The 18,890-nt window shown below is 41.7% G+C and overlaps 1 protein-coding gene across 4 annotated transcripts in view, besides 1 other annotated feature; it reads right to left on the bottom strand.

Annotated features, from left to right (window-relative positions):
• The window catches only part of ANK2 (ankyrin 2), a 678,115-nt gene that overhangs the window by 647,983 nt on the left and 11,242 nt on the right, over positions 1-18,890 (bottom strand). The window lies entirely within an intron of this gene.
• Positions 16,596-17,095: an enhancer, noted in NCBI's record as "H3K27ac hESC enhancer chr4:113639815-113640314 (GRCh37/hg19 assembly coordinates)". NCBI's record gives its function as "activates a minimal SCP1, AML or CMV promoter by ChIP-STARR-seq in naive H9 embryonic stem cells {active_cell/tissue: H9 hESC(naive)}" and the evidence as "EXISTENCE:reporter gene assay evidence [ECO:0000049][PMID:30033119]".

The following is an 18,890-nucleotide window of genomic DNA, read 5'->3' as shown; positions in this document are numbered from 1 at the left end:
CTAATACTACTGAACTGTACACTTAGAAATGGTTAAGCTGATAAATTCTATATGTTTTTTTACCACAATTTAAAAAAAGAAATAGAATATACATACCCCATGAATGGTACAGAGGGTAATACTTCAGTGGTTTGGGGAAATGAGAGATTCACTGGTGTCTTGTGACTGACATCAGTGTAACAAGGAAAGCCCCCTTGTGGGAAGATGGGTGGCAGTCCTTGAAGATGATGAATGTTGACAGGTAGAGACAGGAAGATGAAGAGATAAGCAAAATTGGGGAGGTGGAAGAGGCTGCAATGTATTGGGGGATATGAAGGAACCCAGTCTGATTTAACACTTAAGCAATGTGCACAGAGAAGAAATGCTTAAAGAACCACATCCAGGGAATTTTATATTTTATTTTATTTTATTTTATTTATTTTTGAAACAGAGTATCTCTCTGCCACCCAGCCTGGAGTGCAGTGGCACAATCTCAGCTCACTGCAACCTCTGCCTCCCAGGCTCAAGCGACCCTCTCACCTCAGTAATTTTTGTAGAAACAGGGTTTCACTATGTTGCCCAAGCTGGACTCAAACTCCTGGGCTCAAAGGATCCACCCACCTCAGCCTCTCACAGTGCTGGGATTATAGGCATGAGCCACCTCACTTGGCCAGAATTTTAAATTCACTGAAGTTAGAGTTATATTTCCAGTGTGTATCATTTCTTCATAATTGAGGCAACATGTGCAATTGCTCTAGGGAATGAACTTTTTATTGCTTCAATTTTAGATTGATAAGATCACATTATGATGTATCATTAGGAACAGCTAATAACAGTAATGATCTAATAAGTGTAATGCAATCTAAGACACTTCACAAATAAACAAAAATTAAACCAAACTGGGCAAAACGCCCAGATTACTTCCTACACACACCAACAAAATACTATAAAAGTAAAAATGGAAACAAATGTCTCCCAAAAATGGTGGTTATTTTTGGGTTGTAAAACAATGGAAGACTTTTCTTCTTTTTCTCTGTATTACTTCTTATTTCTGTTTTAAAAATAAGCATGAACATCTTTTGATAATGGGAAAACATTTAATGATATAAATTGTTATTATACGTGGCATAAGAATACAAGAGAACCACTTCTTGAAATCCCGAAAGAAAAACGATGAGGAACCCACCTCTATCTCACCAACATGGGGATTCCAGCTACTTGATAGCAGGCAACTTGCCTTTCATTGATTTTATACACCCCTAACAGGGATCCTCACAGTATACTTTCTCCAATAAGTAGTTTTTGACTATTAATGACTCTGGACACAGGAAAAGGAAAGGTTCTAAGCCATCCCAAGAATATATTTTGGCCCTGAATTTAACTAGAAAGAGGGAATAGCAGAAATGCTCCCACTACTCACCAAGCTAAAGATAATATTTTCAGCACTTGTCAAGTCCCATCAGTGAGCCAGCTAGGGAGCTCAGTTCCTTCTCCAAAAGATTAGAAAGTAGGCATCTTGTTCTCTTAAGGAGAGACTGTGAGTAGGCTTAAAATTGAATTCACACTTTTCATCACTAATGGAAATCAATGTTACTATTCCTTCTGTTTCCTTCCACAGATATACTATGCATATATATATGTATATATGCAAATATGTATTTTACACACACACACACCACATCATATAAGTAATCTCTGTTAGCTGGATGTGTTGGCTCACGCCTGTAAACCCAGCACTTTGGGAGGCCGAGGCGGGTGGATCACCTGAGGCCAGGAGTTCGAGACCAGCCTGGCCAACATGGTGAAACCCCGTCTCTACTAAAAATACAAAAATTAGCCGGGTGTGGTGGCGGGCAGCTGTATTCCCAGCTACTTGGGAGGCTGATGCAGGAGAATTGCTTGAACCCAGGAGGCGGAGGTTGCAGTGAGTTGAGATCACATCATTGCACTCCAGGCTGGGCGACAAGGTGAGACTCCGTCTCAAAAAACAAACAAACAAACAAAATTGGTCTCTGTCTTCAGTTTTTCCTTTTCTTTTCTTTTCTATGCAATATATTTAACCTATAGCTATGGTGTTAATTCTTGTTGATTTGAATCAAAGTTGAATTGTTGAATTGAATTGAAGAAAATTTCCTTAATTCATTCCACAAATGTTTAATTTGAGCTAGATGCTGGGTCTGTATCAGTGAAAAAACCAGTTTCTGCAGAAGCTTGAAGTCTAATTTGCAAAGTCATGGTAAGTTATTAGTATAAAACTTACATAATTTCTATTAAAAAATGTGTACATGTATGAAATAACTAGAGTAAAATTACTCATGAACTAATGCTTTGTCACTAGTAGAGCTATGGGCTACATATGGAGCAGATACCGGACCTCCAAATACCAGGACAAAGAAGCAGAATTGGATAGGCTTTGGTTAAACTAGGATTTTACATGTGAGAGGCACTTAATATATAATCATATCCCAATTATTTATACTTAGAGGAGGAATCCAAGTCTCAGGGAGATATAAATAACAGTGTTATTTATTTTTTTTATGTATTATTATTATTATTTTTGAGGCAGCGTCTTGTTTTGTCGCCCATGCTGGAGTGCAGTGGCAGGATCTTGGCTCACTGCAACCTCCACCTGCCGGGTTCAAGCAATTCTCTGCCTCAGCCTCCAGATTAGCTGGGATTACAGGTGCCCGCCACCACACCTGGCTAATTTTTTTGTATTTTTAGTAGACGGGGTTTCACCATCTTGGCCAGGCTGGTCTTGAACTCCTGACCTCGTGATTTACTGGCCTCAGCCTCCCAAAGTGCTGGGATTACAGGCGTGAGCCACCGTGCCTGGCCCCTTTTTTTTTGTATTTTTAGTAGAGACGGGGTTTCACCATGCTGGCCAGGCTGGTCTCAAACTCCCGACCTTGTGATCCCCCCGCCTCAGCCTCCCAAAGTGCTGAGATTATAGGCGTGAGCCACCACGCCCAGCCTGAAACACTGAGTGTTATTTAGAAGCATAGATTCATGCTCTTTCTAGTCCAGGGTAGACCACATTGTTTGGTGTTGGTGAAGACCCAAGTAGATGACTTCTAAAAGTGCGTCCCAACACTCAATTGTGAGGCTAGATTCTGTTTTGTAGAAAACACTGTAAGGAGAGAACACCTCTCTGGGAGCAATCAGTAGCAACATTGCAAAGAGTTTATGACCATGAACTCAAGAACCTGACTGCTACAATTAAAAATCCCTACTCTGGCTGGGCACAGGCCTGTGATTTCAGCACTTTAGGAGGCCAAGGTGGAAGGACTGCTTGAGGCCAGAAGTTTGAGACTAGCCTGGGCAACACAAGGAGACTCCCCTTGCTACAAAAAACAAGAAGTAAATAGCTGGGTATGGTAATGTAGTGCCTGTAGCTACTCGGGAACAGGATTGGTTGGGCCCAGTAGTTTGAGTAGTTTCAGGTTGCAGTGAGCTACGATCATGCCACTGCACTCCAGCCTGGGCAACAGGGCCAGACCCTGTTTCTTGAAAAAAAAAAAAAAAAAATCCCTACTCTGTCAATTCCCACATCTGTAAAATAGGAATAATAATGGTATCCATTTTATAGTCATTGTGAGAGTAAAATGAGCTGATACACCCAGTGGTGTGCTGGTAGATGTTTAACCAGCCTAGGAATAAGAAAGCTCTGTAGCTTTGTAGCACTTACCAATTTCCTACCTGATTTCAAGCCACCAACATGAGTCAACTAGCTTATAGAATTCCTGATATTTTAACCATTGGCTCTTGTGAGCTGGTACTTGTATACCACAACATATGAAATATTTATGAAAATCCCTGAGCCAGGCATGGTGCCGCACACCTGTTGTCCCGGCTACTTGAGAACCTAAGGCTTGAGCCCAGGAATTGAAGGCTGTAGTGTGCAATGATTGTGCCTGTGAACAGCCACATAGGCACTCCTCTAGCCCAGGAAACATAGTGAGACCTTGCTTCTGCACTTTGAGTATTACATGCATACAAAACATGTAGATATTAGTTACTATATGTACTTTTTTTTTTTTTTGAGACAAGGTCTCACTCTGTTGCCCAGGTTGTAGTGCAGGGGCACGATCATGGCTCACTGCAGCTTCAAACTCCCAGGCTCAAGCAATCCTCCCACCTCACAGCCTCTGAAATAGCTGGGGACTACAGGCATGTGCACACACACCCCACAATTTTTGTATTTTCTGTAGAGATTGGGGTCTTATTTTATTGCTCAGTCTGGTCTCAAACTCCTGAGCTCAAGTGATCTAGATCTACCCACCTCAGCCTCCCAAAGTGCTGGGATTACAGGCATGAGCCACTGCGCTCGGCCTAGTTCCTTATTTTAATGGAAAAAAGTGTACATATTTATGCTGTAAAACAAGATGTTTTGATATATGTGTATACTGTGAAATACGTAAATCAAGTTAGTTAACTTATTCATTACCTCACATATTTATCTTTTTTTTTTTTTTTTTTTTGAGACTACATCTTGCTCTTGCCCAGGCTGGAAGACAGTGAAGTGGTGCAATTATGGCTCACTGCAACCTCAACCTCCCAGGCTCAAGCAATCCTCCCATCTTGGTCTCCCAAGTAGCTGGGACTACAGTTGTGCACCACTCAGCCTTTTTTTTTTAGACAGAGTCTTGCTCTGTCGCCAGACTGGAGTGCAGTGGTGTAACTCGGCCCACTGCAACCTCCACCTCCTGGGTTCAAGCGATTCTCCTGCCTCAGCCTCCTGAGTAGCTGGGTCCACAGGCACGGGCCACCATGCCCAGCTAATTTTTTTTTGTATTTTTAGTAGAGATGGGGTTTCACCATGTTGGCCGGAATGGTCTCGATCTCTTGACCTCATGATCCTCCCTCCTCGGCCTCCCAAAGTGCTGGGACTACAGGCGTAGCCACCGCGCCTGCTCTTTTTTTTTTTTAGAGACAGTGTCTCACTATGTTGCCCTGCTGGTCTTGAATTCCTGATCTCAAACAATCCTCCCACCTCAGCCTCCCAGTGTGCTGGGTCTACAGGCATGAGCCACTGTGCCCAGCCTATTTATCCTGTTGTGTGTGTGTGTGGTAAGAACACTTAAAATCTACTTTTCTAGTAATTTTGTTTTCTTTCTTTTTTTTTTTTTTTTTTTTTTGAGATGGAGTCTCACTTTGTTGCCCAGGCTGGAGTGCAACGGTGCGATCTCGGCTCACTGCAATCTCCACCTCCCAGGTTCAAGCGATTCTCCTGCCTCAGCCTCTCAAGTAGCTGGGATTACTGGTGCCCACCACCATACCCAGCTAATTTTTTGTATTTTTAGTAGAGACAGGGTTTCACCATGTTGGCCAGGCTGGTCTTGAACTCCTGACCTCAGGCAATCTGCCATCTCGATCTCCCAAAGTGCTGGGATTACAGGCGTGAGCCACTGCGCCTGGCCAGCAATTTTCAAATGTACAATATATTGTTATTAACTGTATTCACCATGATGTTCAATAGGTCTCCTGAACGTATTCTCTTTTTTTTTTTTTTTTTTTTTTTTGAGACAGAGTCTCACTCTGTTGCCCAGGCTGGAGTGCAGTGGTGCAATCTCAGCTCATGCAACCTTTGCCTCCCTGATTCAAGCAATTCTCGTGCTTCAGCCACCCAAGTAGCTGGGATTACAGGTACACACAACCACACCTGGCTAATTTTTGCATATTTAGTAGAGACAGGGTTTCACCATATTGGCCAGGCTTAGTCTTCTTAAATTTCATGTCCTTTGTCTAACATCTTCCCAATCCTTGCCCTCTCTGCCAACCCCTACCCCTGATAACTAACATTCTACTCTTTGCTTCTATGTTTTTGACTTTTTAGATTTCATATAAGTGAGATCATGCAGTGTTTGTTTTTCTGTGCCTGGCTTATTTCATTTAACATAGTACCCTCTAAGTTCATTTGTATTACTGCAAATGACAGGATTTCCTTCTTTTTTAAAGGCTGAGTAGTTGTGCATATATACCAGATTTTCTTTTCTTTTCTTTCTTTCTTTTCTTTTTTTTTTTTTTGAGACAGAGTCTCTCTCTGTCACCCAGGCTGGAGTGCAGTGGTGTGATCTTGGCTGCCTGCAACCTCCGCCTCCCGGGTTCAAGTGACTCTCCTGCCTCAGCCTCCCAAGTAGCTGGGACTACAGGCATGCACCACCATGCCCAGATAATTTTTGTATTTTTTAGTAGAGACAGGGTTTTGCCATGTTGGTCTCGAACTCCTGACCTCAGGTGATCCACCTGCCTGGGCCTCCCAAAGTGCTGGGATTATAGGCCTTAGCTATCGTGTCCGGCCCAGATTTTCTGTATCTAATCATCCACTGATGGACACTTAAATTGCTTCCATACCTTGGCTATTGTGAATAATGCTGCAATGAACATAGGCATGCATCTATAACTTCACCATACTGATTTCATTTTCTTTGGATATATATCCAAGAGTGAAATTGACATATCATATGGTAGTTTTATTTTTTTTTCAGAAAACTTCATATTGTTTTCCATAATGACTGTACTAATTTACATCCCAACCGTTTACTAGGTTCCTGTTTCTTTGTTTGTTTGTTTGTTTTGAGAGAGATCTCCCTTTGTCACCCAGGCTGGAGTGTAGTGGGGCAAACATGCCTCACTGCGGCCTTGGCATTGGAACTCAAGCTATCCTCCCGCCTCATCCCCTAAGCACCACATGCATGTGCCACCATGCCTGGCTAATTTTTAAATTTTTTGTAGAAATGGGGTCCCACTATATTGCCCAGGTTGATCTCCAACTCCTGGGCTGATGTAGACCTACCATCTCAGCCTCTGGAGTAGCTGGGACCACAGGTGTGTGCCAAAAAAGTGCCAGGATTACAGGCTTGAGCCACCACACCCAACCAAGGGTTTCTTTTTCACTACATCTTTACATCCTCACCAACAGTTGTTATTTTAAAATTTTTATTGATTCAATCTCCTTACTCATTATCAATCTGCTCAAATTTTCTGTGTATATACATGTATGTATTTTTCACTTGTTATTTATTTATTTATTTTTTGGAGACACTTTTGCTCTGTTACCCAGGCTGGAGTCCAGCTGACTGCAGCCTCAACTCCCCGGGGCTCAGGTGACCCTCTCACCTCAACCTTCAGAGTAGCTAAGACCACAGGAGCAAGTCACCACGCCTGGCTAATTTTTTGTATTTTTAGTAGAGACAGGGTTTTGCCATTTTGCCCAGGCTGATCTTGAACTCCTGGTCTCAAGCGATCATCCTACCTTAGCTTCCCAAAGTGCTGGGATTACAAGGGTGAGCCACTGTGCCAGCCTCAAATTTGTTCATGATTCAGTCTTAGTAGATTGTGTGTGTCTAAGAATGTATCAATTTCTTCTCGGTTATCAAATTTGTTTCTAGGTTCAAATTTGTTGATCTATAATTGTCCATTGTAGTTTCACAAGATCCTTTGTATTTCTTTTCTTTTTTTTTTTTTTTTTTTTTTTTTTTTGAGACAGAGTCTCGCTCTGTCGCCCAGGCTGGAGTGCAGTGGCGCGATCTCGGCTCACTGCAATCTCTGCCTCCCGGGTTCAAGCGATACTCCTGCCTCAGCCTCCCGAGCAGCTGGGACTACAGTCGCCTGCCACCACGCCCAGCTAATTTTTGTATTTTTAGTAGAGACGGGGTTTCACCATATTGGACAGGCTGCTCTTGAACTCCTGACCTTGTGATCCGCCTTCCTTGGCCTCCCAAAGTTCTGGGATTGCAGGCATGAGCCACCGCACCCGGCCAATTCTTTGTATTTTTTTTCTTTTTGTTTTCTTTTGAGACAGAGTTTCGCTCTTGTTGCCCAGGCTGGAGTGCAATGGCGCGATCTCGGCTCACCGCAACGTCCGCCTCCCGCGTGCAAGCAATTCTGCCTCAGCCTCCTGAGTAGCTGGGATTAGAGGCATGCCCCACTACGCCCAGCTAATTTTTTGTATTTTTAGTAGAGACAGGGTTTCTCCATGTTGGTCAGGCTGATCTCAAACTCCCGACCTCAGGTGATCTGCCCACCTCAGCCTCCCAACGTGCTGGGGTTACAGGCCTGATTACAGGATTACAGGCGCCCAGCCGATCCTTTGTATTTCTATGGTATCAATTGTAATGTCTTCTCTTTCATTCTGATTTTATTTGGGTATCCTCTATTTTTTCCTAGTCTCACTAAAGGTTTGTAGATTTTGTTTATCTTTTCAAAAAACCAACCCTTGGTTTCATTGATCTTTTTTATCTTTCTAGTTTTATTTATTTATTTATTTCTAGTCTAATAATAATTTTAAATTTAAATTTAAAAATAATAAATTTCCTTCCTTCTACTAACTTTGGGCTTAATTTGTTCTTTTTCTAGTTCTTTAAGGTGTAATATTAGGTTGTTTAATTTGTAATTTTATAAAAATTACTTGGATGTATACCATATGCTTTATTTACAATATTTCAATCCTTACAGCAACCATAATCTGTGATATTATTTTCAAGTGATGAAACTGAGGCTCAGAGAGGATTTATAACTTTCCAAAGGCTATACATCTAGTCAATAATATTCAGTGTATTTGAACCTGATCTCTGCTGGCTAAATCTTATGTTCTCTCCAATATCACACATTTAATGCCATAATTAAGAGAGGACTTTTCTCTAGTTCCATATAAAAATTTGAGTTAAACAACACAGAACATAGTATTTTAACCATAACTATTCTGCATACTACAGCTAGTCTCTGAATTATATATGTATTATATAATTTTATATATAAAGTTCATAGTAAGCTATGGATACATATTTATAAACACTGAACATTTTATTACGTATTTTCCAATAAATTATTGATAATTCTGAAATTAAAAGTTTTACTTTGATTTCCATACCTTTTAAACTTACTTTTGCAATAGGAGAATTCTTTTTTTTTTTTTTTTTTTGAGACAGAGTCTCCCTCTGTCACCCAGGCTGGAGTGCAGTGGCGGTGATCTTGGCTCACTGCAAGCTCCGCCTCCCAGGTTCACGCCATTCTCCTGCCTCAGCCTCCCGAGTAGCTGGGACTACAGGCACCCACCACTACACCCGGCTAATTTTTTGTATTTTTAGTAGAGATGGGGTTTCACTGTGTTAGCCAGGATGGTCTCGATCTCCTGACCTTGTGATCTGCCCGCCTCGGCCTCCCGCAATAAGAGAATTCTTAAAATAAGCTTAAATTTTAGCTCTGAACTATAAATACAGCATTCATTCTGCAACTTGAAAATTTTGGAAATCTATTCCCTTAGAAAAATGGCAAGGTGGGGGTGGGAAGAAGAATAATACTGAATACAGCTTGGAGACTCTATCTCCAATACGAATGTTCATCTAACTTAGAGAGGTACAGAGAGTGAAAATATGTCTGAGGTAAGTCAACAGAATCATCTGCCTTCAAACAAACAGACACTATGTCTACAATTACAGAGAAATATAATACCTACATTTTATTCATACCAGGATGCCTTTATACATACTCAGGCATAACTCGAAACATGATCTGTCCATCACCACCTCTCTGAGACCTTATTCCACCACTCTCCTCTCCTATCATGTTTGAGCTACAACTGGCTCTCTTCCTATTCCTAGAACACACCAAACTGGTTCCACTTTTTACCACTGGCATTTGCTTTAACATCTGCTGAAATGCTCTTTCCCCAGATGTGTGCTTCCTCCTTCACAGACTTCAGATCTCTGCTTGACTGTCACTTATCAGGGAAGTGTTCTCTGACCACCAAATATAAATCTACCCACCCCACCCCAAGTGCTCTGTGCACCTACTTGTTTTATCTTCTTCATAATCCTTCTTACTACCTGATATTTTAAATTTTTATTATTTATTTATATTTTTAAATTGGATAAAATCATGTAACATAAAATTTGCCATTTTCACATTTACACTGTTGTGCTACCAATCTTCGAGAACTCTTTTCATCTTGCAAAACTGAAACTCTGTACCCATTAAACAACAACTTCCCATTCCCCCAGCCTCCAGCCCTTGGCTACCACTATTCTACTTTCTGCCTCTGTAAATTTGACTACTCTAGGTACCTTATATATTTGGAATCGTGGTTGGCTTTTTTAACTTAGGACAATGTCTTTGGCCAGGTGCAGTGGCTTACGCCTGTAATCCCAGCACTTTGGGAGGCTGAGGCGGGAGGATCACTTGAGGTCAGGAGTTCAAGACCAGCCTAGCCAACATGGTGAAACCCTGTTTCTACTAAAAATACAAAAACAGCCGGGCATGGTGACTCGCATCTGTAGTCCCAGCTACTCGGGAGGCTGAGGCAGGAGAATCGCGTGAACCCGGGAGGCAGAGGTTGCAGTGAGCCGAGATGGCGCCACTGCACTCCAGCCTGGGCGACACAGCAAGGCTCTGTCTCAAAAAAAAAAAAAAAAAAAAAGACTGTGTCTTTAAGGCTCATCCATGTTGTAGCATGTGTTAGAATTTGTTTCCTGTTTTTTTTTTTTTTTTGTCTGGAGACAGAGTCTTGCTCTGTTGCCCAGGCTGGAGTGCAGTGGCGCAATCTCGGCTCACTGCAACCTCCACCTCCTGGGTTCAAGCAATTCTCCTGCCTCAGCCTCCCGAGTAGCTGGAACTACAGGCGCCCGCCACCATGGCCAACTAATTTTTTTTGTATTTTAGTAGAGACAGGGTTTCACCTTGTTGCCCAGGCTGGTCTTGAACTCCTGAGCTCAGACAATCCACCCGCCTCAGCCTCCCAAAGTGCTGGGATTACAGGCGTGAGCCACGGCACCCGGCTGAATGTGTTTCCTTTTTAAGGCTGAAGAATATTCCACTGTATGTATATGCCACATTTCGTGTATCCATTCTTCTGACATTTGGCTTGCTTCTACTTTTTGACTATAATGCTGCTGTGAACATGAGTGGACAAATATCTCCTTGAGACCCTGTTTTCAATTCTGCTGTGTATATACCCAGAAGTATATTTATCCCTCTAGAAGTGGGACTGCTAGATCATAGAGCAGCTCTATTTTTAATTTCTAAAGAACATTCATAATGTTTTCCACAGTGGCTAAACGATTATTTATTCCCATCAGTAGCACACAAGGGTTCCAGTTTCTCCATGTCCTTTCCAACACTTGTAACTTTCTGGGTTGTTTTGTTTTGTTTTGATAGTAGCCATTCTAATGGGTATGGGATGGTGTGGTGTGTGTGTGTGTGTGTGTGTGTGTGTGTGTGTATGTGTGTGTGTCTATATATTTGTATCTTTATTTTCTTCCTTTCTTTTACTAGAATGTAAACTCCATGAGGGCCAGGATTTTGTTTTTGTCACTGCTGCATTCCTAAAACTTTTAACCTGCCTAACACATATTAGGCATCCAAAATATATTTGTCAAATGAATCAATAATCTCACATTTTCAAGATTTTTCTGGCCGGGCATGGTGGCTCACGCCTTTAATCCCAGCACTTTGAGAGGCCGAGGGCGGCGGATCACCTGAGGTCAGGAATTCAAGACCAGCCTAGCCAACATGGTGAGACACTGTCTCTACAAAAAATACAAAAATTAACCAGGCATGGTGGCATGCGCCTGTAGTCCCAGCTACTCTGAAGGCTAAGGCACGAGACTCACTTGAACCCGGGAGGCAGAGGCTGCAGTAAGCTGAGATCGCACCACTGCACTCCAGCCTGGGTGACAGAGCGACACTCTGTCTCCAAAAAAAAAAAAAAAAAGATTTTTCCTGTATTAGCATTAGTACTCAAACTGAAAACATGAGAGAACAGTTATCGTAGGAATTATGATACAGAGCATGTCTAACAGATTCCCTTTAATGTTTTAGGGTATAAAATTATAATCCTTGTCTTTACTGATATTTTAAAATGTAAACACAGTATAATTTTAGTAATGCAATGCATATATCATATCAACTAAAGAATAAATTCTGTCAAAGCACATTCTCATTAGTTGTCAAGAACCATATTTGTTTGTTCCTGTGATCATCATCTAACTGTGACCTTTGTTGTTAGGTTCTAAAGAAATGCTCTTAGGTGGCAATGCTTTTGATCACCATAAAAACATTAACCAGGAAATTTATATCAAGTCCTTGACGAGACAGCTAATTAAAAAAAGATCTTGCCGGGGGCGGTGGCTCGTGCCTGTAATCCCAGCACTTTGGGAGGCCGAGGAGGGAGGATCACCTGAGGTCAGGAGTTCGAGACCAGCCTGGCCAATATGGTGAAACCCCATCTCTACTAAAAATACAAAAATTAGCCGGGCATGGTGGTGGTCACCTGTAATCCCAGCTACTCAGGAGGCTGAGGCAGGAGAATTGCTTGAACCCGGGAGGCGGAGGTTGCAGTGCGCCGAGATCGCGCCACTGCACTCCAGCCTGGGTGACAGAGTGAGTCCGTCCTGCCCACCCTGCTTCCCCCACAAAAAAAAATCTTGAGGAGCCAGGTGTGGTGGCTTGCACCCATAATCCTAGCTACTCAGGAGGCTAAAGTGGGAGGATCACTTGAAGCAAGGAGTTCAAGGAAAAGAACTTGAAAACTACTTTTCCTCCCTTCCACTGCAGTAATGAAACTAAACATAAGATTCAGTAAACAGGAGCAAGTAACCAGTAACTTAATTCCAGGTTCGTGAGATCTATGATTCAATCTAGTTCCAGCTGTGTAGGTGTATCAGAAGTTGTTGACTGGCTACATATTTCTCTAATGTCTCCCAACCAAAACTTAGTTTCGTTGGATGGCAATGAGCCCAGACTCAATACATGGCATTCTTTCCTTCATTTCTAGAGAACTTTTTTCTCTTTTTTTTTCTTTTCCTTTTTCTTTTCTTGACACAGGGTCTCTGTCACCCAGGCTGGAGTGCAGTGGCGTGATCATGGCTCACTGCAGCCTCAAACTCCTGGGCTCAAGCGATCCTCCTGCCTCAGCTTCCCAAGTAGATGGGACTACAGGCATGAGCCATCATACATGGCCTTTTCTAGGGGTAAGCACATGGCCTTTTCTAGGGGTAAGCACATGACCCAGTTCTAATAATTAGAAGAAAGGAAGTGTCTGCAAGATGGCTACTAAGAAAGATTTACCTCCCTCATAAGAAAGACCTTTTGCCACCACCTGACACCTTCCTCCAACCTTGCTTTCTGCTTTGGACACCATTACATGAAGATGTGATTTTTGGAACTGTGGCAGCCATCCCATGACCAGAAGGGATGACACTGCTATCACCTGAGGATGGCAAAGTAGAAGGATCAGAGAAGGTTCAATCATCGATGACACTATTGAGCCACTGAGCCAACAATCCTGGGACTAACAACTTCTGGCCTCCTGTTAGGTAAACAGTGAATGTACTTATGATTTAAGCCACAGTTAGTGGAAACACCCTAAAGGTGTGTGTGTATATGTGCACGTGAGCACTCGTGTATGGGGGTATGTGTGCCTGTGTGTGTTTTAGGCAGGATCTTGCATCAAAGAGCTGTGACTCTGGAGCACAGCTTTATCATTTGCAGAGAGAGTTAGTGAGGCAAGGAGATACTGTTAGGTGGTCCAAATTCGTATGCTTTGGGGGCTAGAGGTAAGGATGCATTAAAAGAAAGTTGAAAATACAAACACAAGATAAATTGCAAACTATCTTGGCCGGAGCTGTCTCTGCCTGCCTTGAAACAATTTAGAACATAGCAAATGCGGACAGCTGTTTAGAAATGGCTCGAATAATGTGACTGCAGAGTCAAAAGCCTGTGGATGTTTAATACAGTTAACAAAATAAAACCTTTTATGAGGTTACATATTTTCCTATTAAATTTTAGAAGGATAACAAATGAAGTCTGATAATAATGCTTGTGAGATATGCAAATTACCTCTCTGATGCCTGCACCTCTCCTCTAGAAGAAACTCACTTTTAAAGATTCCTCCAGATGCCATGAGTTTGGATTAGTGTGATCCCAGGTGACTCACTTACTCAAACAATGAATTGCTTTTGATATCTTTTCTACCAATGCTTATGATGCCATTTTCATCACACCTGCATATGAGTTCCTGGCTAGACACAATAAATCCTGGCACTTTCATTTCAGGATTCACAATTTCATTATTACTTTCCCCTTTGAAAAGAGCAATAACTTTAGAATCATTTCCTTTACTTTCTGCTTCTCCCACACTCCAAATTGGAAGCTCAGACCTTTTCCAGGCGTGTAGAGACAGTGCCTAAGTCTTCAGGGTAGCCAACCTTTTTTTTTTTTTTTTTTTTTTTTTTTTGAGATGGGGTCTCGCTCTGTCACCCAGGGTGGAGTGCAATGGTGCAATCTCAGCTCACTGCAACCTCCACCTCCTGGGTTCAAACGATTTTCCTGCCTTAGCCTCCCAAGTAGCTAGGACTACAGGCATATGCCACCACATCTCACTAATTTTTTTGTATTTTTAGTAGAGACAGGGTTTCACTATGTTGGCTAGGCTGGTCTTGAACTCCTGACCTCCAGTGATCCACCTGCCTTGGCCTCCCAAAGTGCTGGGATTACAGGTGTGAGCTACCATGCCCGGCTAGGGCAGCCAAACTTTTAATCAGCTCCAAGATGATAAAGGAGCCTCCATTATCTTCATCACAATAGCAACCCTCCTTCCAAGAAACACAAAGGAATCCTCCATCTCTGTCCCTCCCCTTCTTCAGCATCCTTCCTCTCTCCTACCTTTCATGTACACAACCCTGAGAGTAGCTGGCAAACATGGGCTTCTGAACCTTGGGGGTTCTGGGATTATATTTTCTCTGCAGCAAGAGAATAAAAGAAGCCAATAGATGCTGGTGGGGATGGAGTGGAGGATTTTCCTAAATACTGAGATCATTCCATAGTACTTTTCAAAAAAAACAACAGCTAGGCAAAACTTCTAAATCATGGAACCATTATTCCCTTGATGGTCCTCTAATAGTCATGGCCAATGTAAGGTTTCTTTTTAATGTATAATGACTTTTCCATTTGCCAACACAATCTCTAGGCAAGAAATATTTGAGTTATACGTTACACAGTCAAGTGCTTTGAAATACCTTAATTATTAAAAGCACATTATAAAACCAAACTCTATGTTTTCCTTCTATCTAGTCCACACATGTAAGACTTTAATTTCAATTTTAAAAGATTAAATTATTCATTGAGCACCTGTTATATTTCAGGCAATATGACAGGCATTGTTCTACACTCAATACCTCATAGTGTAGCAATTAGGGAAATTTATAACTGATTCCATTAGGAAGTGACAGGATCAGATGTGTTGTATACAAGAGAGTTTGTAAATGGGAGAGACTGCAGAGAGTGAGACCAATTAGGACACTATTATAATATAGTCCATATAAGACCCAATGTGGTCCTGAACTTGGACAGAAAAAGTAAGACTGGAGAAAAGATGGAGAGAGGAAAAGAAACCAAAAACAGCACTCGAGGGTAGGCACCAAATAGTGAGACTTTTATAGACATGTAATGTTTGAAGGACCCACAAGACATAAAGGAAGAGATTTATGGAAGTCAGATGAAAGTACCAGGTCAACAGAGGGGTTTACACTAAAGATGCTGTTGAGGAGACATCAACGTATGGTAGTAATAGAAGCTACAGGAGTGGATAATTGGTCTGGGAAGAAATATAAATATGTGAGATGAAAATCAGAGATGGAAAGTAGAACCCTGGTTGACATTAATGTTTAAAGAACAAGTGAAGGAAGAGGAAGTGATAGAGGAGAATGATAAAGAACGCTGGTAGGAAAACCATGAATAAGTCATGATAATAAGTACAGCTCTTTAGGATCCGGCTGTTGACTAACTCACCAGTCTCATATCCTGCCACCTCCCCCAAAACTGTGCTCCAGCCATTCAGAACTTCTGATAACTCCCTAAAATGCCTAAAATGCCGTATGCTTTCTACTTCCAAGCCTTTGCAATTCCTGTTTCCTCTGATATTCCCTTTCTATCTTAGGTTGCAAGCTCTTACTCTTCCTTCAAGCACCAGCTTCTGTTTGAAGCCTTTGCTGAAGTCCCCAAGCAGAGGCCTCCACTGCTTTGAATTATACCTTCTTTTTTTTTTTTTTTTGAGTCGGAGTCTCGCTCTGTCGCCCAGGCTGGAGTGTAATCGGCGATCTCAGCTCACAGCAAGCTCCGCCCCCTGGGTTCACGCCATTCTCCTGCCTCAGCCTCCCGAGTAGCTTGGACTACAGGCGCCCACCACAACGCCTGGCTAATTTTTTGTATATTTAGTAGAGGCGGGGTTTCACTGTGTTAGCCAGGATGGTCTCGATCTCCTGACCTCGTGATCCACCCACCTCGGCCTCCCAAAGTGCTGGGATTACAGGATTGAGCCACCGTGCCCGGCCGAATTATACCTTCTTTATTGAAATCATCACATTCTATCTGCTTAGTTGGTTTTTCCACTGTATCATAGTTCCCTGAGTACTAAGTGTTTTCCCCTCTGTATCTGAGGTGTTTTCACCTCCTTACTTCCAGGCCCCAACATGATACCTGGCATGAGGAGGTGGTATTACATGCACTGTTTAAGGACACAAGCTTTGATAACTAACACATGTGGACATGAACCCCTTTCTCTACCATTTCCTTGACTGCATGATCTTCAGCAAACTACTAAGCCTGGTTTCTTTAAATTAGAGTGATTATTGTCCTATCTCATCAAATGGATGGGAGGATGAAATAATACATGTAAAGAATTTGTCACAGAGCTGACACACACAGAGCTCAGTTAGTATAAGCATCTTTATTTCAGATGTTGAATATATGAATGGTAATCTATAGTCCTAATGAGAAGAGCTTCAGGAAGGAAGAAATGGTCAACAGAATAAAAACTGCTGACCGGGAGCGGTGGCTCATGCGACCGGGTGCGGTGGCTCATGCCTGTAATCCCAGTACTTTGGGAGGCCGAGGTGGGCAGATCACCTGAGGTCAGGAGTTCAAGACCAGCCTGACCAACATGGAGAAACCCCGTCTCTACTAAAAAGACAAAACTAGCCAGGTGTGGTGGCACATGCCTGTAATCCCAGCCACTTGGGAAGCTGAGGCAGATGAATCACTTGAACCTGGGAGGCAGAGGTTGCAGTGAGCTGAGATTGCACCATTGCATTCCAGCCTGGGCAACAAGAGTGAAACTCCGTCTCAAAAATAAAAATAAAAAATAAATAAAAACTGCTAAGAAGTAGGCCAGGCCCAGTGGCTCACGCCTATAATGCCAGCACTTTGGAAGGCTGAGGCAGGCAGATTACCTGAGGTCAGGAGTTCAAGACCAGCCTGGCCAACATGGTGAAACCATGTCTCTATGAAAAATAAAAACATTAGTTAACGTGGTGGTGGGTGCCTGTAATCCCAGCTACTCAGGAGGCTGAGGCAGGAAATTTGCTTGAACCTGGGAGGCAGAGGTTGCAGTGAGCCAAGATCACATCACTGCACTCCAGCTTGGGCAACAGAGCAAGACTGTCCGAAAAACAAAAACAATTAAGAAGTCTAATAGGATGAGGGCTATCCACTTACTAAATACTTAACTAAAGCATCCTTGTCTCCCCATCAACTGGGTTTCTTTAACCTCACTGTCAGGCTCAGCCTTGCCCCATTCTCTATAACTAGTGAAGACAAAAGAATTGCGGAAAACAACAACACCTTCTAAACAGAGGAAAGTCCTAGAATAGGCAGGAGAGAATGTGATCAAGGTCAGGATAATTCTTCTGCTGAAACAGGAAGGAAGAAGGCAAGAATATGTGAGAATGCAAATGTTTAGAAGTGGATGTGTGTTCCTGGTTCTCTTTTATAACTGAAGAAGGTGTCTATAAAAGAGGCATTCATGCATAAAACATTTTGTACTGTCAGATGAAAGAACTAAGTCAGCTATATAATCATCCAAGTTTTTATCAGAAAGAGAGATAAGATTTTCTAAGTTGGCATACAAGGTCTCTTATCCAATTAGAAGTCTAATTTAGTCAATAGCCCTGGTACTTTTGTACATTTTAGCTTTTTATATTTATAAATATTTTTTTTTTAAAGTAAATATTCATTGTTGTCTAAGAAACTGTCTAAGCACTTCCAGCAAAGCTATACAAGTACTTGGTAACTATCTTGGATAGGTAATAGCACTAAAGCATATTGGCTTGTTAGATATTATGTTTAGCTCAGTGGTATAAATTCATAAAATAAACATTTTTCCTTATAAACTGGCATTATGAAGTGATTAGTCCTTATAATTTGTATTAAATATGTCTATTACTCTGAAATCTACAAGCTCACACAATTTAAGGAATATCACAGTACGATGCATCTATCATTTTCCTTCATGTTCACTATTATCTATCATTCATTACATTGGGCAGTCTCAGAAAGAGTTTATTTGATTTGCTCAATTCCAAAATGAACTAAGGCAAAATAACCTTATGAAGTTAAAGTGCAGACAGATAGCAGAAGAGAAATTCAGTATTCATAAAACTTGTAGGAAAATAGTTTAATAAGCGCATCTTTTAGGACAATCAGAAAAAAAAGGTCACACAAGCCCAATATATATTAGATAATACACTGCAGAAAAATGACAGGCAGCTTCTACATTTATTATGATAAGAGTAGAATAAAGGTTAATGGATTTGAAGAACCACATTTCCAAGAGTCTGGCTTTTAATACCAAGTGCCTGGCAAGATACCATTCATTATAAAGGAAAACTGTTACGATAAATAACTTGTATATTAGTCTAGTGAAATAAAGCATTGAAAAGAATGAAACTGTTTTTAGACCTGCTCAGGTAAAACAAAAGAATGTTTGCTTAATTTCATTAAAAGGAAAAATAAATTCCAGATGTAGCACTTGACAATCACCCAGGTCTTCCTTTAATTATTATTAAAAAGGCATGATGTAAAGCAATGTGGATAGTAGGCTCCCATTTATGTAAACAAAACGGGGAAAGGGGGGTTGC

The sequence above is a fragment of the Homo sapiens genome, chromosome 4, assembly GCF_000001405.40.
Source record: "Homo sapiens chromosome 4, GRCh38.p14 Primary Assembly".
In the NCBI taxonomy this organism is placed as follows: domain Eukaryota; kingdom Metazoa; phylum Chordata; class Mammalia; order Primates; family Hominidae; genus Homo; species Homo sapiens.
The sequence above is the reverse complement of the archived record's forward strand: the minus strand, read 5'-3'. Positions and strand labels throughout refer to the sequence as shown.